Source organism: Homo sapiens, chromosome 10 (genome assembly GCF_000001405.40).
Source record: "Homo sapiens chromosome 10, GRCh38.p14 Primary Assembly".
Lineage (NCBI taxonomy): Eukaryota > Metazoa > Chordata > Mammalia > Primates > Hominidae > Homo > Homo sapiens.
This window is the reverse complement of record NC_000010.11, coordinates 46295490-46313814: the sequence shown is the minus strand read 5'-3', so window position 1 is coordinate 46313814 and position 18325 is coordinate 46295490. Positions and strand designations below refer to the sequence as shown.

General features: G+C 55.1%; 1 protein-coding gene across 22 annotated transcripts in view, besides 5 other annotated features; it reads right to left on the bottom strand.

Annotated features, from left to right (window-relative positions):
* Window positions 1-18325, bottom strand: part of ANTXRL (ANTXR like) — a 44038-nt gene that overhangs the window by 16315 nt on the left and 9398 nt on the right. For 14 of the 22 annotated variants that reach the window (XR_945612.2, XM_047424705.1, NM_001278688.3 and 11 more), the window contains 13 exons: window positions 17715-17796; window positions 17563-17596; window positions 16487-16563; window positions 16341-16409; window positions 15904-15984; window positions 15753-15813; window positions 10995-11093; window positions 6943-7012; window positions 6335-6413; window positions 4613-4702; window positions 3316-3354; window positions 2150-2305; window positions 499-579 (listed from right to left, as the gene is read on the bottom strand). Coding sequence is in view for 19 of the 22 variants with exons in the window: in XM_047424705.1 (XP_047280661.1) it covers window positions 499-579; window positions 2150-2305; window positions 3316-3354; window positions 4613-4702; window positions 6335-6413; window positions 6943-7012; window positions 10995-11093; window positions 15753-15813; window positions 15904-15984; window positions 16341-16409; window positions 16487-16563; window positions 17563-17596; window positions 17715-17796 (1018 nt within the window). In the remaining 3 variants the exon portion in view is untranslated. The other 8 variants (XR_945614.2, XM_011539430.3, NM_001354208.2 and 5 more) reach the window with 7 other exon arrangements.
* Window positions 3983-4586: an enhancer, noted in NCBI's record as "H3K4me1 hESC enhancer chr10:47680465-47681068 (GRCh37/hg19 assembly coordinates)". NCBI's record gives its function as "activates a minimal SCP1, AML or CMV promoter by ChIP-STARR-seq in naive H9 embryonic stem cells {active_cell/tissue: H9 hESC(naive)}" and the evidence as "EXISTENCE:reporter gene assay evidence [ECO:0000049][PMID:30033119]".
* Window positions 4587-5192: an enhancer, noted in NCBI's record as "H3K4me1 hESC enhancer chr10:47679859-47680464 (GRCh37/hg19 assembly coordinates)". NCBI's record gives its function as "activates a minimal SCP1, AML or CMV promoter by ChIP-STARR-seq in naive H9 embryonic stem cells {active_cell/tissue: H9 hESC(naive)}" and the evidence as "EXISTENCE:reporter gene assay evidence [ECO:0000049][PMID:30033119]".
* Window positions 8347-8846: an enhancer, noted in NCBI's record as "H3K4me1 hESC enhancer chr10:47676205-47676704 (GRCh37/hg19 assembly coordinates)". NCBI's record gives its function as "activates a minimal SCP1, AML or CMV promoter by ChIP-STARR-seq in naive H9 embryonic stem cells {active_cell/tissue: H9 hESC(naive)}" and the evidence as "EXISTENCE:reporter gene assay evidence [ECO:0000049][PMID:30033119]".
* Window positions 13282-13860: an enhancer, noted in NCBI's record as "H3K4me1 hESC enhancer chr10:47671191-47671769 (GRCh37/hg19 assembly coordinates)". NCBI's record gives its function as "activates a minimal SCP1, AML or CMV promoter by ChIP-STARR-seq in naive H9 embryonic stem cells {active_cell/tissue: H9 hESC(naive)}" and the evidence as "EXISTENCE:reporter gene assay evidence [ECO:0000049][PMID:30033119]".
* Window positions 15548-16048: an enhancer, noted in NCBI's record as "H3K4me1 hESC enhancer chr10:47669003-47669503 (GRCh37/hg19 assembly coordinates)". NCBI's record gives its function as "activates a minimal SCP1, AML or CMV promoter by ChIP-STARR-seq in naive H9 embryonic stem cells {active_cell/tissue: H9 hESC(naive)}" and the evidence as "EXISTENCE:reporter gene assay evidence [ECO:0000049][PMID:30033119]".

Sequence of the window (18325 nt, the reverse complement as noted above, 5' to 3'; positions counted from 1 at the left end):
AAACTGGATAATAATAGCACCTACTGGTACAGTTACTGGGAGGATAAAAACAGTGAAAGCATGGCTTAGCCTAACAAATGGCCCATGGGAGGACTGCGTACATTACTGAGGCCTCATTAATAATTATATAATTATTAGTCTTCATTCATAATAAGTTACAAAGAGAAAATCTTAAAAATTTGGTCCTCCCTATGGTCCCAAGGCAATGAACCAAGGAAGGAATCCTTATTCCCTGTTAGAACCAGTCACTGTTGCCCAACAACTCTGTTAGCCATCCTAGCCAGCACTCCTGGCCCCAGGTGATGAACAAAGGAAGAGCTTTGATGCCATGTCCAGAAACTGGCTGGGATGCCCATGGGCACCGTTTCTGTGTGTCTTGTGCCGTCCTCTTTTGCAGATGCCTGACATGGCTCTCTGAGCCCCAATCCCAGAGGACAGTGGTCAGGGGAAAAGCAGTGGCCTTTTGTCCATCAACTGTGTCCCTGTGCCCTAGCTCACCTGGTCCCTGCTCTGACAACACATCCATGGCACCTGGTGGCAGCTTGCGTGAGAGAGGTCACAAAAGGTATCCAGATTGCCCTGAAAAGCAACGTGGCCATGAGGAAGACATGCAGCTTGGACACTGCCTCCAGAAGGCATCAGGACTCCCCAGCCCCCCACAGCTCTGTGCCCAGGAAAACACCCAGACAAAGCTCCCATCCCCCTCTGGGGGAGGGGCCTGGCAGCCTTGTGTGCTGGGGACATGGTCACTGTGGCCACAGAGAGTTTTGGAATCTAGAACAAAACAGTATTTTGCTGAAGGAAGAGAAAACGCCAGGGGCAGATTCAGATAAAAAGTCCAAAGACAGGAGGAGCCTGTGGTTCTGAGCAGAGGTCCTGAAGGGGAGCATGAGTTAGGCCTGGGGGCCCAGCATGGGGGCCTGGGCAGGGAGAAGGAGCCTTGCTGCTGGGGCACACAAGGGGAAGGCAGGTGAGAGGACCATGCCCTGCTCAGGGAGTAGGTACCTGACACCAGGGAAGAGAGAAGAGGAAGGCAGAGAAAAACAGGCCAGAAAGCAGCCCAGGACCCACGGCGGGCAGCCCCTTGGCCACTCGGCGCTGCAGTCAGGCCTTTCTGGGCTCCGGTGGGGATGGGATGAGGGCCGTGTGTTGCAAGGCAGTGCAGGCCGCTGGCAGGTGACTTCCTCCCCCTGGAGACATGTGCCCCACACTCTGAGGAGAGACAGGCCTGGCTTCCCCAGATGCCCACTGAGGCTGCAGAGGAGCCTGACCCTCCCAGGAGGAAGCAAGAGATCCGACCACAGACAGAGCCAGGACCAAGGGGGAGAGGGGCAGAGCCAGGTAGGAACTCTGGGGTCCCTCTCCCTCAACACCAGCCACCCAGGCGCCCTCTCTACCCCTGTGCAGGGTCCCCTGCTGCTGTCTGGCAGGGTTCCCCTCAGCAAGATGGGCCCTGGACCCGCCCGTGAAGGAGGTTTCCTCAGGGAGAGTGGCTGTTGTGTTGGCTCCGGGGCTCAAGCTCCTGCACAGGTGTCTTGTGAGGGCGCTTTCAGGCCTCCACCTCCTCCCCTCCCTGCAGCACCTGTCAGCCCATCTCAGCAGGCGACAAGCCCACTCAGTGACAGCTTTTCCTCACTGCCTGAAGATTCTGCTGCCCGGGCTGGCAGGTGCCCCTGGCATCCTTGCAGTGTTCGTGGTGGTGAGAACATGTGTCAGGACTGGTCATTTCTATTTTTTTTTCTGATCTGCATGACCTTTTGTGACTCAGGTTGCTTGACTCATGCGCCTGCAGGCAAGTGGTCTAAAGCCAGGGGCCACTGCCAGAGCTGAGGCACCCCTGTGGGAACCAGGGACTGGTCAGACATCAAAAGCTGCCACTGTACAGAAACATGGATCCTTCTAGAGAGGGAGTTCAATGTGTGGGGACAGACCCGGTGGTGCAGGGGACAGGAGCCCTCATATATGCCTGCCACTGGGGCACGAGGGTGAGGTGGGCATCTGGTTGCTCTTGACATCAAGTGTCCAAAGTCCAGCCCCTGTAGAGCCTGCCTTCCTCCAGGGCCCAGGTCTCCACAGTGGGACCCATCTGCCCCCTCCTCCCACAGTCCCATGCTGGGGTCACAGCCCCTCTCCACTGTGCCCTTCTCACCTCTATCCTTCTCATCCCGCCCACTCCTTGGCATCCACAGCAACAAATAATCACAGTGGGGCAGGTGTTTACAGGAGCTGGGGGCGGAGGCGGGAGTGGAGGTGGTGGAGGCGGAGGCGGTGGTGGTGGTGATGGTGGTTTTTCCTGCTCTGGCTCCTAAAAAAAGAAAAACAACTGTCTGCTCACAGTGCTGGCAGGGCACAGTGCTGGCCACTCCCAGATGTGTGTCTGGGGAATGAAAGGACCAGAAAGAAACCCACACCACAGTGGAGGGTCCTTCATGTGAAAAACACGCAAACTCCTCCTAGTTGGCAGACATGGCTCTTCTCGTAAATGCCAACGACTTTGTCTCTGTCCCCTTGGTTCTCCCGTGGCTGCCCTTGTTGAAAGAGGCCTGCCCTGGGGGTTATGCAATGGTCCCAGCATTTGCAGGTGACTGTCCGTATCCACCTGGTTGCAGATGCAGCCTCCCCTAGACCACTCTGCAGCACCGCAGAGGCCACCCTTGGCCAGGGTTGCCTGTTCCCACCCCATCCCAGGCCCAGGGCCTCCTGCCTCAGCTACTCACCACTGCCCATGGCCCCTGGGGTGGGTCCCCGACCCAGGTGAGCCACAACTTGTTCCCGGACTCCTGGCCCCTGTGCTCACTGGGCTGGTGTCCTTCCCAGCTCGGTGCCCACCAGGACTCCCCCATCCCTCAGCCCTGCAGTCCTGAGAGGCTAACCCCAGCCAGCCCCTCGTCCCTGCCAGGAGACATGGATCCAGAGAGGCCAAATGGAGCCACACCTGCCTCTAGAGCCTGGGGACAGGGCCAGGTCCCTGAAACACGGGGCTCCTTTTCCAGAGCGCCTCTGTCCTTAGCATCTTACAAAAGGTCCTTGACAGAGAGCCCCATTTATTCAGGACAGATCATCACAGTTGCTGAAACTGGCCACCCCAGGCTGCGAACTGGTGACAAGGCTTATGTTAAGGGGTGCAGGGAGCGGAAAGGGCATGCTGGGGACATCACTGTGAGTCCCCCATCTTCTCAGGCTCCATTCTGCCCCTCTGTCAACTTCTCTGCTCAAGCAGATGGAGATCATGGGGCGCAGGCTTCATGGCACTCTTGGTGAAGGTCAGTGGGCTCCTTGGGATGTGACAATATCGGGACCAGAACTGCAACTTACCTTTTCTGGCTTCTGCACAGGTGGTGGCTCCTTGACAGTCTAGAATGTTCAAAAGAGACAAACACAGGCTGGATGGGGGTGGGCGGGCTCTGCCTTGGCCCTGCACACAGCTGGGACCCTGGCCTGGAGCACCAGGACAGAGCACTGCCTTTGGGGTGTCACTCTGGCCACCCTGAGCCTGTGAACTTGTACCCGGCAGGCTCCTCCTCCTGGGCCTCAGCCTCCAACCTTACCAAAGGGGAACCCCTGTACCGCCGCTGTGGGGTTCCTAGGGGTCAGCCAGGCCAGGGACCAGGTCCCTAGTGAGGCCCAGCCCCTACAAGTGTCCTTCTCTGCCCACAGCCACATGGAGAAGACAGCGTTCGCCCCACTTCCCTTCCTTAGGGAGAGCCTGTCTGTCTACAGGAGCCCTCCCTGACCTCCCAGCCTCATGGCTGAGTCCCGGGCTTCCTCCCCTTGCAGCTCCCTATGCAGACATGAGCCCTGTGTGTTCCCTGGGCTGAGCTCTGCGCTCTCCTCCTTCTGCTCTGTTCTCTGTCTGCAGCTCTCTGAGCTGGGTCCGTCCACCCCAGCTCCCAGCACCCCTTCCATCTTCCCTGCCCCGGGCTCCATCTCTGCTTTTGGGTCCTGCTCCGCCTTACAGGGAGCCCTTCCCACTCCTGTGGGGTGGACATTTCACCCTCAGCCATGACAGGACAGAACTGTGAGCTGCCTGTGGGGAATGGTAGCCACCATTTCTGTCCCTGCCCAGCCCAGTATGGGGCCCAGGGGAAGCTGGAGCTCAGTAAAGACAGATGAAGGAATGGGGAAGGAACTAGACATGTGCCGAGATCCACACTGGTTCCTCAAGGTACAGACAGCTGGGGGTTACAGCGTCCTCCATTTGGGCCAGCAGGGCCTCATGGGGGCCCCTCTCTTCCTCCCTCCACACAGAGGCCACCTCCTGGCCCTTGTCCATCTGAGGCTTCCAGAAGTCTGGATTGTTGAGGCAGCCCTGGTTTCAGGGGTTCTGGGGTCACTTCTCTCTAGGAGCCAGGGCAGGCCTCAACCCCATGTCCAGGGCATTCCAGGCCAGCTCTCTGTGGCCAGCCCGGGGCAGGAGGCCCTGCAGAAGCCCAGGCTTGCTAGGCTCTGGGAACGTGTGGACAGGTCTGCGACTCCCTGGGCTCACGTGATGAGCTGGGAGCTGAGGGAAACTTCCCACAGGCGGGATCACGGGGGGCAGTCACATGTTAGAGTCCCTCAGAGGGTGGGCCTGTGCCTGGGCCCCAGAGCTGGGCGGGCAGGGAGCACTTGCCTGCTTGCGGCACAGCCGCCAGACACAACACAGCAGCAGTGGCACAAGCAGCAGGAGTGGCACAAAATAGAGCCAGTTGCGGAAAATGCCCTGGTGGAGAAAGAGAGCACCATAGGAGGGCCTCGGTGGCCTCTTCCCCGTGCCCACCACTTGGTGGCCCATCTGCCCACTCCTCACTCTCCCTAGCTGGCCCCGCATCCGGGTACTACAGTGGGGCCAGCGGCCAGGGCTGGGCCCCAGAGAGCTATAGACCCTTTCTCTGGCCCTGCTGAAAGTCTCTGCCCCAGAGCCCTGCCAAGAAAGTCCCGGAAGCTTCCATGGTCTGATGATCCCACCCTCACTGCACACCTCGCCTGCAGCACAGGGCTTCTGTGAGGACCACAAAATCTACCGGTACAAAGACAGGTGAGGGTGGAGGTGCAGGCACAGGAGCAGGGGCAGGAGACCCGGGTCCATCCCCCACAGCCTCTCTCCCCACTTCCAGGCTCTGCACCGTGGGCACATCCACGCACTGCTCTGAGCCTCAGCCTCCACACCTGTGCAAAGGGAATGAGCCGCCCTCCCTGGGGGCACTTGTGAGGTTTAGAGAGCTCCAAGTCCTGGCTCAGAACCAGGGCCACATGGGGTATAAGCAACGGGAACAGTTCTCTGGGTGTTCTTCGCAATAAAGGAATCTTGGGCGGCATCCGTGGGAAGGCAGGCTGCTCAGGCCTTCCTCATGTCCAGAGCTCTACTTAAGAGAAGGCTGGAGAGGGGAGGGGAGGGGAGTGGAGAGGAGGGGAGGGGAGGGGAGGGGAGGGAAGGGGCAGGGGCCTGTGCTGGGAACCCGGCTGGCTGAAGGAGAGGAACCACTGAGGCTGAGCATGAAGGCCGCTGGCGAGGTGGGAGCCCCATGGCTGCTCCTGATGTGTCTGTCACAGTTGGGCCATCAGTGGGTAGATTCCTGATGGGGAATGCGTGCATTCAGCCTGCAGATCCATGCATGGATGTGCAGGGACAGGCAAGGATAGACCCAGAGGGAAGACTCTCAACACTGGTGTGTCCTCACAAGTGAGACTGGGTACAAGGCAGTGGAGTGGGCTCAGGCCTCCCGCCCGTCCCTCCAGCACATCCTCCTGCCTATGCGGCCCTGGGCCAAACTGCCCAAAGACATGGAGCTCTGAAGAGCAGGCACCTGGGGCACAGCATCTCCATTCCCAGGGGCCTCTTGGAGCTGAGCTCGGGTCCGAGTGCCTGAGAGCCTCCCCTTCAGCAGCAGGAGGGGACATACTACAGGGCTTGGCGAGGGAGCAGAGAGGGACATCTCAGGGGCCTGAGCAAGGAGGAGAGGCAGAAAGGGGGCTGAAGGCATCTGGGAAATGACAGCAAGTGACCACCAGGCAGGCTCAGGGGCCAGGGTCATCAGCAGGTTCAGGACCAGATCAGTAGCTGGGGCACCAGTTCAGCAGCACACACATACCCTGACGGCAGTGTGTGGAATCCTCCAGGGCTCCTGGGCCTGAGGTCCTGGCCTAGAGGTGCTGGACTCTGGCTCCTGGCAGACAGCCTCCCAGCCTCACCCACCTGCACCATCCAGAAGCCGGGTTGGAGCAGCCTCAGGTGCCTGCTGCACACGCTACTTTCTGGGACTGCCTGGGAACGGTCTGCCTTTTCTGTGCTCCTTCTAGTGCAGAGGCTCTGGACAGTCCTCATACATGTTTGCAGCCCCATGCTGGTACTCACACATGTGGTGCTGGTGATGCTGACATTGCTCTTGAAGAATGTTTTGCCTTTGTTCAAGCTGACTTCAATAGAGTACTCCCTAAAGCATAGAAAATGCAGATGGTGAGAGCCAGTCCAGAGAGATGCAGTTCTTGCCCTTGGACAGCATGGGTAATGAGAGGTCATTCCCCAAACACTTGCAGGTAAACTTAGCAATGATGACCAAAGGGTAAGTGGGTCAGACAGTGAGGGGCCCTGCATGGGGTCTCATGCCATTGTGACCGCGTCCTAAATGACCAGGGACTGCTGCTTGGTGTCACCATCCTGGCTCTTCTGTATTTACAGAGTGTGTTGGCTTAACTCTGAGAGGCAACCTGGAGCAAAGGTACCATTCCTTGGGCAATCATCTCCTGCATCCTGCCTTCCTCACAGACCCTAGGATGCTGCAGATCCCTGAATACCTTGGGGGTCACTAACAAGGGATGTGGGGAGGAGGGTGCTCTTTGCGCAGCCACAGATATGTGCTGTCCCAGCAGGGGGTGGGGGGCATCCACATTTTGTACACCTCAAGGTGCCCAACCCTGACTCCCTGGTCTCTTGCCCTCTAGCCTCCTGCCAGGGGCACTTACTCTCCAGGTTTTTCTAGTTTTGGCCCAGGGCAATTCATGGAATTATTGTCGATACTGGTTGGCTTTTCATCTAAAAGAAAATGACATGAGAAGAATGTCAGTGCACCTGTCTGTCCACTGTTCCTCCCCATGTCTGTCCTCAGCATGCAGGGCTGACCCTGTGGCCCAGGACCGGCATGTGGGCTCTGCCTTCCTATTGCACAGACCCCTGCAAGCACCCGCCACACCCAGGCCCTGTGCAGCACTCTGTTGTGTAACAGGAACAGGCAGGCAGAGTCCCTGCTCTCAAGGACTCACCTTTAGGGATTGCACGGGACACAGAAAACAAAATAAAAAACAGGACAAAACAGATGACAGAGAGTGCAATGTGCTGTGATGTCCATGACCAGAGGAGGTGAGGGAACCAGAGAGGAAGGGACAGCCGCTTCATTATGCATGACTTCTCCTATCTTGTAGAGCCACAATTTCTGGTCTAGAGGAACATGAAATAATGCAAGGCCAGGGATTTGCTTCAAAATACTCTGTGGTAAGGGTTCCAAGGAAAGCAGGTGGGGGCAGGTTGAGAATTATTGAAAGTAGGTGATGGCTTCTTTAAGTTCATTGCACAATTCTTGTTATTTTGTGTAGTGTTGCAAACTTCCATGAATGATAAATTATCTCTGAAGAGGTGACATTCCAGCTGAGATTAAAAAGATGAGGAGCCAGCCAGGCAAAGATCCCAGGTAAAGGTGCTTGGGGCTGAGAGAGTGGCATGTGCCAATGCTCTGGGCAGTGACTCGCTGACCTTGTCAAGGAGGGAAAGAGGTGACCCAGGACAGGGGGCAGGGCCTTGTGGGCCCTGGAAAGGGGTTGGGGTTTTATTTCTTGTGCAGTGAATCTGTCCAGGTTGGGCAGATCCAGGATGTATTTTGCACATGGAGGCAACAGGACTTGCTGGTGGGATGGATGTGAAGAGGAAGCTCAGAGGAGTCAAAGATGACATTTGAGTGTTTGACCAGAACAACTGGGTGGACAGCGACACCATTTACCAAGATGAGGAAGCCTGAGGAGGGGACTGGGTTTTTTTTTTCAAGTCTGTAATTTTGTTTTCCAATTTTTGTTTATTTATGTATCTATTTACTCATTTTTGTGGGAGTGTGGTGGGCTCAGGAGAGTTCGGTAATGTGTAGACATGGAACATTCTCACTCCTGAGCCCACACCCTTTTCACACCTCCTGAAGTGCGGGAGAGGGCGTGGGCCCTGCTGCATCTGCCTGCTGGCCTGGCTCCAGCTCTCTACCCACTGGGCTCGGCTGCCAGGACCCCGGCTTCCCAGGGCCCATTAACTGCATAGCCAACCTAGGACTGGCAGAACCCGTGGTATTGACTTTTTTGCCAAGGATGATTTCAAAACAATTATGGCATCCTCCTCATTTTCCTTTAAAAGGCTTTCTCTGCTTTTCTTTTCCACCTCCCTAAATATGCACATAGTTTACTCTGGCATGTATTTTCCATTGCAATGTCCTGTTCCTGAATAAATAGCATTTCTGTTTAGAGACACTCTCTCTGTTTGTTATTTCAGTTGTCAAAAATTGCATCCAGGCGCTTCCAGAAGCCAGAACCAGGCTCTGCCCCTGCTGCCCTACAGGGACTGATGCAGGACAGAGATCCCTGAACTGCACCTCCAGGCTGGCATCAGCCGCCAGGGAAGGCACACTGCCATCTAGTTGGGGGTGCAGGGGAGGCGTGTTCAGTGGTGGCCAACACTCCAGGGACATGTTCCGGGGATCTCTTCCTATTAGTGAAAATAGGTTTAAAGGTTGTTCTCAATTATTTTAAAAAATAAGTTTCTTTTTACTCTTGGGCCAGCCATCAACCAGGAGCAGAATGGCCATCTACGCAGGTGCTCACAGCTGTGGCATGGGCTCCCCACTGTGAGACGTCGGTGCTGGCCTGTGTATGGAGATGTAGATGGTAAGCTCCAGGGTGGGAAGCCAGTACACCCACAGGCCCACAGAGGAGGCAGCTGAATGCCACTCACGGAGGTAGGCTGGGTACCCCCTTTCCCAGGAGCTGCCACCACAGGGAGGCAGAAGGCAGATCGCCTGGGTCTGCTTTCCTGCCCTGCAACATGGACTGTATGGCCCTGGGCAGGCTCTTCCATCATGCTTCTCTCTAGCTCTCCATCCATATGAGAAAGTTGTCAGAATTAAAATGGAGTCATTTGTGTTAAAAAATAAAATAAAATCCATGACAAATAGGGCTAAGAAAGGCTACAAAGAGAGGGTTTTATGCCTATATGCCTGATAACAAAAATATCACAAAAGACTTTGCAAAAACCACAACCTTGCACAAAAGCCATTGCAGACTTAACACAAAAAAATACTTCTACAGGAACATGTGCCCAAGAACTGCCTGTCCAGCCTTGGACTAGTGTCACCCTTGTAACTGATCTTTTTAGGCAAGAGTAATGGTCTTAAAACAATTCCCTAATCTTCATTTCTCCTTTAAAAGCCTATGTCTTCTTTACCTCCCTGATTATGCACATTACTATGGCACACACATTCCCAGTGCCGGGCACCGTTCCTGAATAAATACTGTTTTCTTTTAGAGAGAAACTCTCTGTTGTTCTGATTGACACATACAAAGACTTTCTGTAAGGCTGCTTTGAGGATTCAAGGAGATAGTGTGCATAAGGCACTTGGCACGATATCTGATATAAGTGCTCAGTAAGCATTAGCTTTCCTTAGAAAGGGGCTGCTCAGTCCCTAAGACAGTTCCAAGAAAGTATAACCCAATGAAAACTGAATTCCCTGAGACCATCCACACAATGCTGATGAGTGGGAATGTGGGGATGACAGGCTCAGCCCCTTCCTATGTACTCATGGAAAGGAGGAAAAAGGTCAAGAAGCCTCTTGGGGGAAGAGAAGTCATCCTGGGATTACCATATGGCCCTGGAATTAGATTTCAGTGAACATACTAACATCAGATCAAATGAATGTATCAAGGGGCCACCTGGGAAGATCAAGGAGGATGCAAAAATCCAACTGCACCCCAGGCCCTCAGTGGGGAAGAGCACACCCCACCCCCAGCACCCAGGGCACAGTGTCTGCCTGGACTATGCGCTTCCTCAGGCCATTCCACCATCACAGAGGTTCCCTGATGCCTAACTATTGCCAAATAATAGGAGATTTAAAAAAAATACTATAGCCCTTCCATGAACCAACTGCTCTACGCATGTGATTTTGCTTACTTAGGTGTAACTGTGGCTGACCATCTATAACATGAAAATCCACACCCAAAATCCTTCAAAATCTGACATTTCTTGAGCACCAACATGATGTTCGAAAGAAATGCTCATTAGAGAATTTCAGATTTCAAATTTGCGGTTTGGGATGCTGAAACATCAGTATACTGCACACGTTCCAAAACCTGAAAAAATCTGAAAACTAAAATATCTGTGGTCCCAAGCATTTCAGTTAAAGGATACATAGCCAGCACCATATTGCCTCCATGTTAAATTGAGAAAATAGAGGCTCAGAGTAGAACACTCATCTGGTCAAGGTGACACAGGCAATGTGTGCCTGAGCCAGGATTCCAAGGCCCAGGCCTACAGGCTGGCATCCTCCCTCAGTGCAAGGTAAACATACCCCTCTGGGCAAGCTACTGGTGCACCTGGCCATTCAGGCTCAGATCTCCGGGGCTGCCACCATTTCCTAGAAGTAGCCTTGTGGGCTTTGGGTCCTGGGCTCTCAAGGGAAGGGGAAACTGAGGCTAAGGTGGGCAGATGCAGCTGTGATCGCAGACCCAGTCCTAAACCCAGCCTCACTGAGTGGGAAGCCCTGATGTAAGATGCTCTTGAGGCACAGATGGATTTGTTACTTCCCCACTTGGCAGATGAAGGGAGGGGTGACCGGCCTTCCCAGTGCCTCCTTCCACTTGTCCTCATGGCCTCTAACCCCACAGGGTCCACAGGGAATGGTTGGCAAGGGCTGGGAGGCTTGGCTGGCTGTGGGGAAAGGCAGCATTGTGTGGGAAATACGTGACTCAGAGGCACAGAGGAGACAACTTACCAATGATAGTGCTTTCATTGAAGATAAATCTGCAAATAACTTCATCCCGTTTCTTTAGATTCTGAAAGCCATTTCCATGAATAACCACATGGTAGGGTTCTGCAAGGACAACATTCAAAAGGCTGAGTGAGGAAGAGTAGGGGGCTGCCTCCCCTCTGACCTCCCTATTCCTGGAGATCCACCCCCAAAACCGAATTCACAGAGGCTCCTGTAAGGAAAGAGCTGTGTCTGAACCAACATCTATGTGTCCACTAGGTCAAATCTTCATCTGGTGTCACTGAGGGTCCAGGAGGAGGCAGCTGGGCCTTAAGCACACTCAAGGACCCTCTCCCTACCATTCCTGAACCAACACGCTCAGGAAAGGCCTTGGTCCTTGCACAGGGCAGGCTCAGAGTGGTATTCCTGCCCTGAAATCTGTGGTGCTCCCTCGGCCCCAGGTGTGCAGGCCGTGCACTCAGCCAGGCCCTCCCTGATGTCAGGTGTAAGCGGAGCCATAATGCTGCCTGAAGACACCATGTCTCATGCCTCAGCTGGGCACCCAGGCCTGGATGCCTCCTTCAGGGCTGCTGAACATTCGAGGTCTCTCCTCCCTGTCTTTCTGTGTGCCTGTGGCAGGCAGGACACCCACAGCATCAGGGCCAGGACTCAGGTGGGGCAGGCGAGCCACCTAGGACCCTGCTCAAGGGAATCCATCACAGAAGCCCTGTTTTAGCTGTGATTCCAGAGAACTACAGGTGATTTCTCATATTCTGCTCTTCCTGAACCAGCAAGGACCACAGGGCACCCATCCTGAGGCTCAAGGAGTGTGTCCTTCCACCACTGTAGCTCCTGCCCTGACCCAAAGACCACAGGGGACACATGCAGGTGACGGCTGGACCCAGGAGCCAGCCAGGGTTCCCGCAGGTCTGCAGCTGCCAAGGGCATTGGCCTCCACCCCTGCCTCCTGGCCCAGGCCCCACGCATTCCAATCCCTGCTGATGCTTGGGGCGCCCCCGGTCCATGCACCCAAGGAAAGCTTCCTGTGAACCCTGCTTCCTGCCTTTCTGCAGTGTCACACCTTCAAGGCGGGCTGTGGGTGAAGTTGGCCTACCGACATGCTTTCTGAGGCTTTCAAAATGGGAGCCTGCAGTTAAAAGCCTGAACATTAACCACAAATATCTAGATTTCCAGCTTTCTTGGAAAATGGGAAATGCAGGCCTTAGTGGGTTTGTGTTTCTCCATGTCAGCTCCTGGCTGGGACCTAGGGAACCATGCTCCTCAGATGAGGAGCTCCGAGGCCCACCTCACTCCAAGGCCCTCAACGCTGACTGCTGACATCAGCCAGCTGGGCCTGGCCTACTCTTCCTGCTCAAGGTGCCAGCCTGGCTCTCGTAGTCACCCACTTGATGGATACTATGCTGCCCTTGGAAGAGCCTGGGCCTGGTGGGGGCACTGAGGCTGTGAGAGACAGCAGGAAATGCCAACTTGGTGCCCTGTTCTGAGCAACTAGACATGGGCCCCTCAGGGCAAGCCTGGGGTCCTCTCCCACAGCTAAGGCTGACAGCAGCTGCTTCCAAATCTGATGCTGCCAGGCAACTTCTTCCCCACTCAGGCTTCCAAAAAGCCCTGGCCAGCCAGACACTAGGCTCAGTGTGTGCCCGGGAGGGAGCAACTGGGCCTGTGGCCTGCGCCCCTTGGTCAGCCCAACTTGGCCACTCTAAGCAGGGCTGAGTGCTGCCCCAAAGCTCCATGGACAGGATAATTGCAAATTACATTCTGGGCTGTGTTAGGACTATGTATTGCAAGCAAGCATTTTTTTTTTTTCAAGGTGGATGGATGAAGAGAGAGGGGGGGTGGGAGAGATAAAGGAACATGGCCAAACATTCATTGTAAAATCCCAGTGGTGGATAGAGATGTGTTTGTGTTCATTGTACAATCCTTTCCACTCACCTACAGGTTTGAAAATTTCAACAATAAAAGGGTGGAAGAAAACCAAAGAACTAAATAAGAAAATTATGCTTAGACATAGACAACCAGAAGTCATGATACACCCTGGGTGACAAGTGACTGATGAGAGGGACAGACCAAGCCCTTGGGCTGCAGGGAGTCAGAGGGGCTGGTCATCAGGGAAGGCTTCCAGGATGAGGTGCCCTTTGAACAGGGCTGTGAAGGACAGGTGGGCTCGGCCCTTCAAGGTGAGGCAAGGCTTGCAGAGTGCCTGTGCTCCACCTGGTCCCACCTCTGCACAGGGCGCCCAGAACAGGAAGTGGACCCTGGAGGGCCTGGGGGTTCTGCTAAGAGCCTCAGACTCCTGCCAGGCTGGAGAGGGAGATGCCTGTCAAAACCCTCCAGCCATGTGTGGGGGATGGGCTCAGGATGGGCCTTGAGCGGTGAGGCCACCAGAGGCCTCTCCCAGGCTGGATAGGAGGCCCAGGGCTAAACAGGGGGAGTCTGGGCTGCATGCCTCCCTCCCTGGCCTCCTTCCTGGGCTCCCTGGAGACCTCCTGGCTTCTCAGTGGCAGCCTGCTGAGAGGGCTCATTCTGTTGCATTTGGGTTTCAGGCTCCTGCCTTGCCCTTTCCCTCCTGTGACTGTCACCCTCCATGTGGGGCAGCTTTGCACAACTCAGCCGACAGCTGACAGATCAGGGCTGTGACTGCCGGGCCACGTGAGCAGAGGCAGAAGGCCGAGCTGGTGGGCAGAGGGCACCTGCCACCTCGACTCAGCTGCCTCCAGGGAGGAGTGAAGACTCACATCCTCACCTGGGGTTGACAGGGCTGCTCAGACGCCACAGGCTGTGCGTGTCCAGGGGACATCATCAGAGGAGCACAGCTGTCACACTGGCTGCACGGCTGAGCCGCTTTAAATCAGGAGGAACAGAAAGAGACCCCGAGGGGGAGGAGAGCCCTCTCTACTCCACCCCTGCCCTCAGCTCTGCATGGGGGAGAGGCGGGGTCGGGGACAGAGCCCAGGACCAATCATGGAAGTGTCAGCGTAGCTCCTGTTTCAGGGACCTGCCAGCTCCCAGCCCTGTGCCAGTCCCTGCACAGCCCAGTGCCTTTGGACTCACGAGAGGCCTGACAGCGTCTTTTCTGTTCATGGGAGGCACTTCTGGAGCTCACTGACATTGGACAATTTGCTCCTGGTCGTGTGCCCATGGAGAGCAGAGCTCAGACATATACGGTGTGTCTGTCCCCACAGCCTACCGCCAGGACACCCTGCAGTGAGGAACAGGGAGGCCAGAGCCCAGCTGCTGGATGCCTCGTGGTCTTGCTAAGGGCCTAGTAATGTCCTCTCGTGATGAAGGGAGGACACCCAGGGCTCCCTTCAACTCCAGCAGCCGCAGTTGTGCAACTGCCGGCCATGCAGACCCCCAGCCTACACAGAAAGAGCTCAGGACAGACAGAGGCATCACAGAGGCCCACACAGGACTGTCACAACCCATACTGGGACCCCAGCTGACAAGAGGGCATCCTCGCTACGTCTCAGACAGCATGGACAGGCACTGGGATTGATCCTGTGGGATTGAGGTGAGCTGAGGGTGTTTGTGTGGACGACTTTGTCGGGCTATGGAAGTTTCCTTCTGCTCATAGGGTGCTGTGGGATGTTGACACCCCTACTTCTTGTTCTTCATCCCCTGAGATAACCGCTTGGTTCCTGTTTCCTATTTTGTTGATGTGGTAAATTACACAGACATTTCAGCTCCTGCACCTGCCTGGCCTTCCTGGGAGGAGCCCTGGCTGCTCCTGCCCTGTGGTCTGGGTTAGCTGCTACTCCATGCCATTTGCTGGTGTTTCCCTGAGAGCTTCTCACACATGTCTTTTCTTGCTTTAGAGTTAAACTTACCGTTGTGAGGTTACAACACACTAATTGTACAAAGGTACTCACACCACCACCCCCGCATATTGCCCCCACACCAATAGACACATTCACATCCATGTGGGCCACATGTCCACTCCCACCGACCCATGCACACTGGACCACAAACACACTCAACCCACCCCATACCACACACATCACACCACACACCACACACCCGAAGTACACACACCCACACACCACACACACACATAAATAGCAAACACACATACACCAAAAATACCAAAGACACACCACACATCCCATACACACACCACACACATCAGCAACACACTCCCAACTCCCCATACGACACAAACACACACTGGACACCACATACCTGCACACCAGACACCCTTCCCACACACCAGCAGCCTTCCACACACCAGGCAACCTTCCCACACACTCCCACAAGACCCCCACTCATGCCAGACACACACAGTGCACATACACCACACACACACACGCATATATGCTCCCTACGTACACTCACACCCCCACATGCATATTACACAGCACCTCAGCTCCCACACAACATACACCCCACAATACAACACACACAGATGCATCACTCATGCACACCCCACACACACCACACTCACAGCACATATACACACCCCACACAATCTCACACACATTTCCACAGCACACAGACCACATATTACCCTCTCCCGCAGATTTCACACACATCAAGCCTCCCACAGCACAACTTCCCAGACATACTACACATACTGCACCCACACAAACTACATACACACATACCACACACACCAAACACATACACACCACATACACACACCACACTCACACACTCCCCACACACATCCTCCCCCACACATACCAAACAAATGCACACACTCCATACACGCATGCACTCATGCACACCACCCTTTGGCTACCCCAGGGCCTCCGCAGCTCTCACCTCCTACACACTCAGAGGAAGGCTCCACCGATGTCACATCAAGACAGACCTTTGACGTGAGCTGGAACACAGGAGGGGTGGGGCGGGACAGGGAGAGTGAGCTTCCTGCCAAAGGATCCAGGTCCCCAGCCCCTCACCTCTGCCCACTCACGGCATCAATGGTGCTTCTCAGGGCCTTGAAGCCATTCTCCACTGCAAACACGTGGCCAGGGCTGTCTGCAATTGCTGTTATCTACAGAGAGCAGAGCTGGGTTGGACTCCCCACCAGGAGGTGAGGATGCAGCAGACCCCCGGCCCAGGAGACAGTGTCTTGCCCTCATGCTTTGGGGGCAGCAGAATGTCAGGCTCTGAATGTCACAGACTTCTCCAGCCAGCAGCCCACTCTTAGGGAGCGGGGAGCTCTTCCACCCTCCCCTTTGGCATGGTGGGATTTATACAACATGCTGTCAATCACTTCTGCAGTGGCCATGAGTTGGCCCAACTCACTTGGGGCAGCTTAGACAACCGTCCTTGGGGTGGCCCGGGACGGTTGGCTCGAAAGTGACCACTAGGCTTGAAAGTGGCGCCTGGTTACCTGCTTGGAATTACCTGATCCAGATTATAATCAGCCACACCCAGGGTGTAAACGTTGGCCCCCAGTTTCCGAGCCTTTTGAGCCTAAGGGAAAGAAGGCATTGCATATTGGTCATCAAAATACATGGAGCAAAATGCTGGTAAGTATGAACTGGACTCACTTCTCTGAGAGTGTCCTGAAATGCATGTGCCACCAGTTCTCCATCAGTCATAGCAATAATCATGCTGGGAACCTTGTCTGTAGAAGAAGCAAAGAGTGGCCTGCTCAGCAAAGGCACCAGGAGTGACCTCCAGAAGCTCCGGAACCCCTGCAGATGGCTGGGCCCACAGCGCTGCCCACTCCAGGGCATGGCCACGTGCCCCCACCTCATCCTCCAGAGGAGAGGCTGCCAAGACCCAAGCACCTGCCACCCAGAGACCTCCTAGAGTCAGGGAGGTCTCAGCCCAGCACCCATTTTACAGAGAAGGGGCTGAGAGGGGCAGGGTCTTTCACACCAGGCTGCCTGAACCCTCACCCACTAGCGACCTGCACCACCTCTGCCTGAGGGCAGCTCCAGCCAGGACTCCACAACCACAGGCCTGTCCCACGGGCAGAGGGAGGAGCTGCTGGGCCCTCCTGTAACAGACAGGCTCAGGGAGGCTCCCAGGGGGCCAGGTCTTGCTGTAAGCAGAGCCTGCAGGCAGCCCTGCCGGCATCTCTGGGCCCAGGAGTTCAGGACTCCAGGCCAGTGGCACCTGGGCAGGGGACCCCACAGCCACCTCAACGCCTTTCCTCTCCAGCCCTGCCTTTTCCTGACAAGAGCTGCAGCAACACAGTGGGGAGGGAAGTTGGGGGCCCTGGACAGCCTTCTGTACCATATGAGACAGGGTCAGGGGATGCAAGTCACTCGGAGGGAAGACATGCAAGGGAGGAGGAAGGCTAAGGTGTGTGCAAGGGGCAAACCCCTTGGCTCTTCCCTTGTCCTTTTCACACAGCCCAGCTGGAGGGCAAGCACCTCAGGGTTATGAGCACCAGAACTGCACACGCAGGATCCCACACAGTTCTCAGAACTCCATGGGGTGAGGGCTTACTATGCTCATTGCACCAGGGAGGGACCTGGAGCTCAGAGCAGGTGAGCAACTTGCTCCAAGAGGCAGGGCAGGTGTGGCCTTGCAGATTCTGCACACAGAGCTCTCTGAGGCTCACACCCAGCTCTGTTCCCCCTACAGGACCACCAGGGGGACGGCAGGTGCTTACTTCCGGAGTTGAAACTTTCGATCTGTTGAATTGCCTGCAAGAAAATGAAGAAATATTGAGCCTGGACAGTGAGATGCTCCCACTGATGCTCTAAGATTTTGTAGGTTAGGGTTAGGGTTAGGGTTAGGGTTAGGAGATCAAGGGGTCTATACCTTTCTAAATCCTGCCTGCATGAATGTGTGACCGTCAGGCACAATTTTCTGAAGTTGGTCAAGACCGTTTTTTATTCTATTCCTGAAAAAAATTTAAAAAGGTGGTTGACCTGGAAAGACATTGACTGTTAAAAATCAGCTCCCAAGCTCTCCGGGAGCCACTGTTCTTTGCGCCAGTCCTCCTGGATGAAGGAGGGGCCCAGGCAAGGGCTTTGTCCTCCTCATTCCTCATTGTGATTTTGACCAGAGATTTCAAGCCCTTCTGAGCTCATCCGAGTTACAGAGAATGCAGGCCTGGGGAACTTCACCAGGGCCCTGCTTGGACCATCTCTGGTGACAGTAGGAGTTTCCCATGGATGAGCAACTGTGAGTCAGGAACTGCAATGGGGCTGACTTTCCTAAACCTAACCCTAACCCTAACCCTGAACCAGGGATGGGCAACTGAGAGTCAGCCACTGACAATGGGGTTGACATTCCTAACTCTAACTCTAACTCTAACTCTAACTCTAACTCTAACCCAAACCCTAACTTTAACCCTGAACCAGGGATGGGCAACTGAGAGTCAGCCACTGACAATGGGGTTGACATTCCTAACTCTAACTCTAACTCTA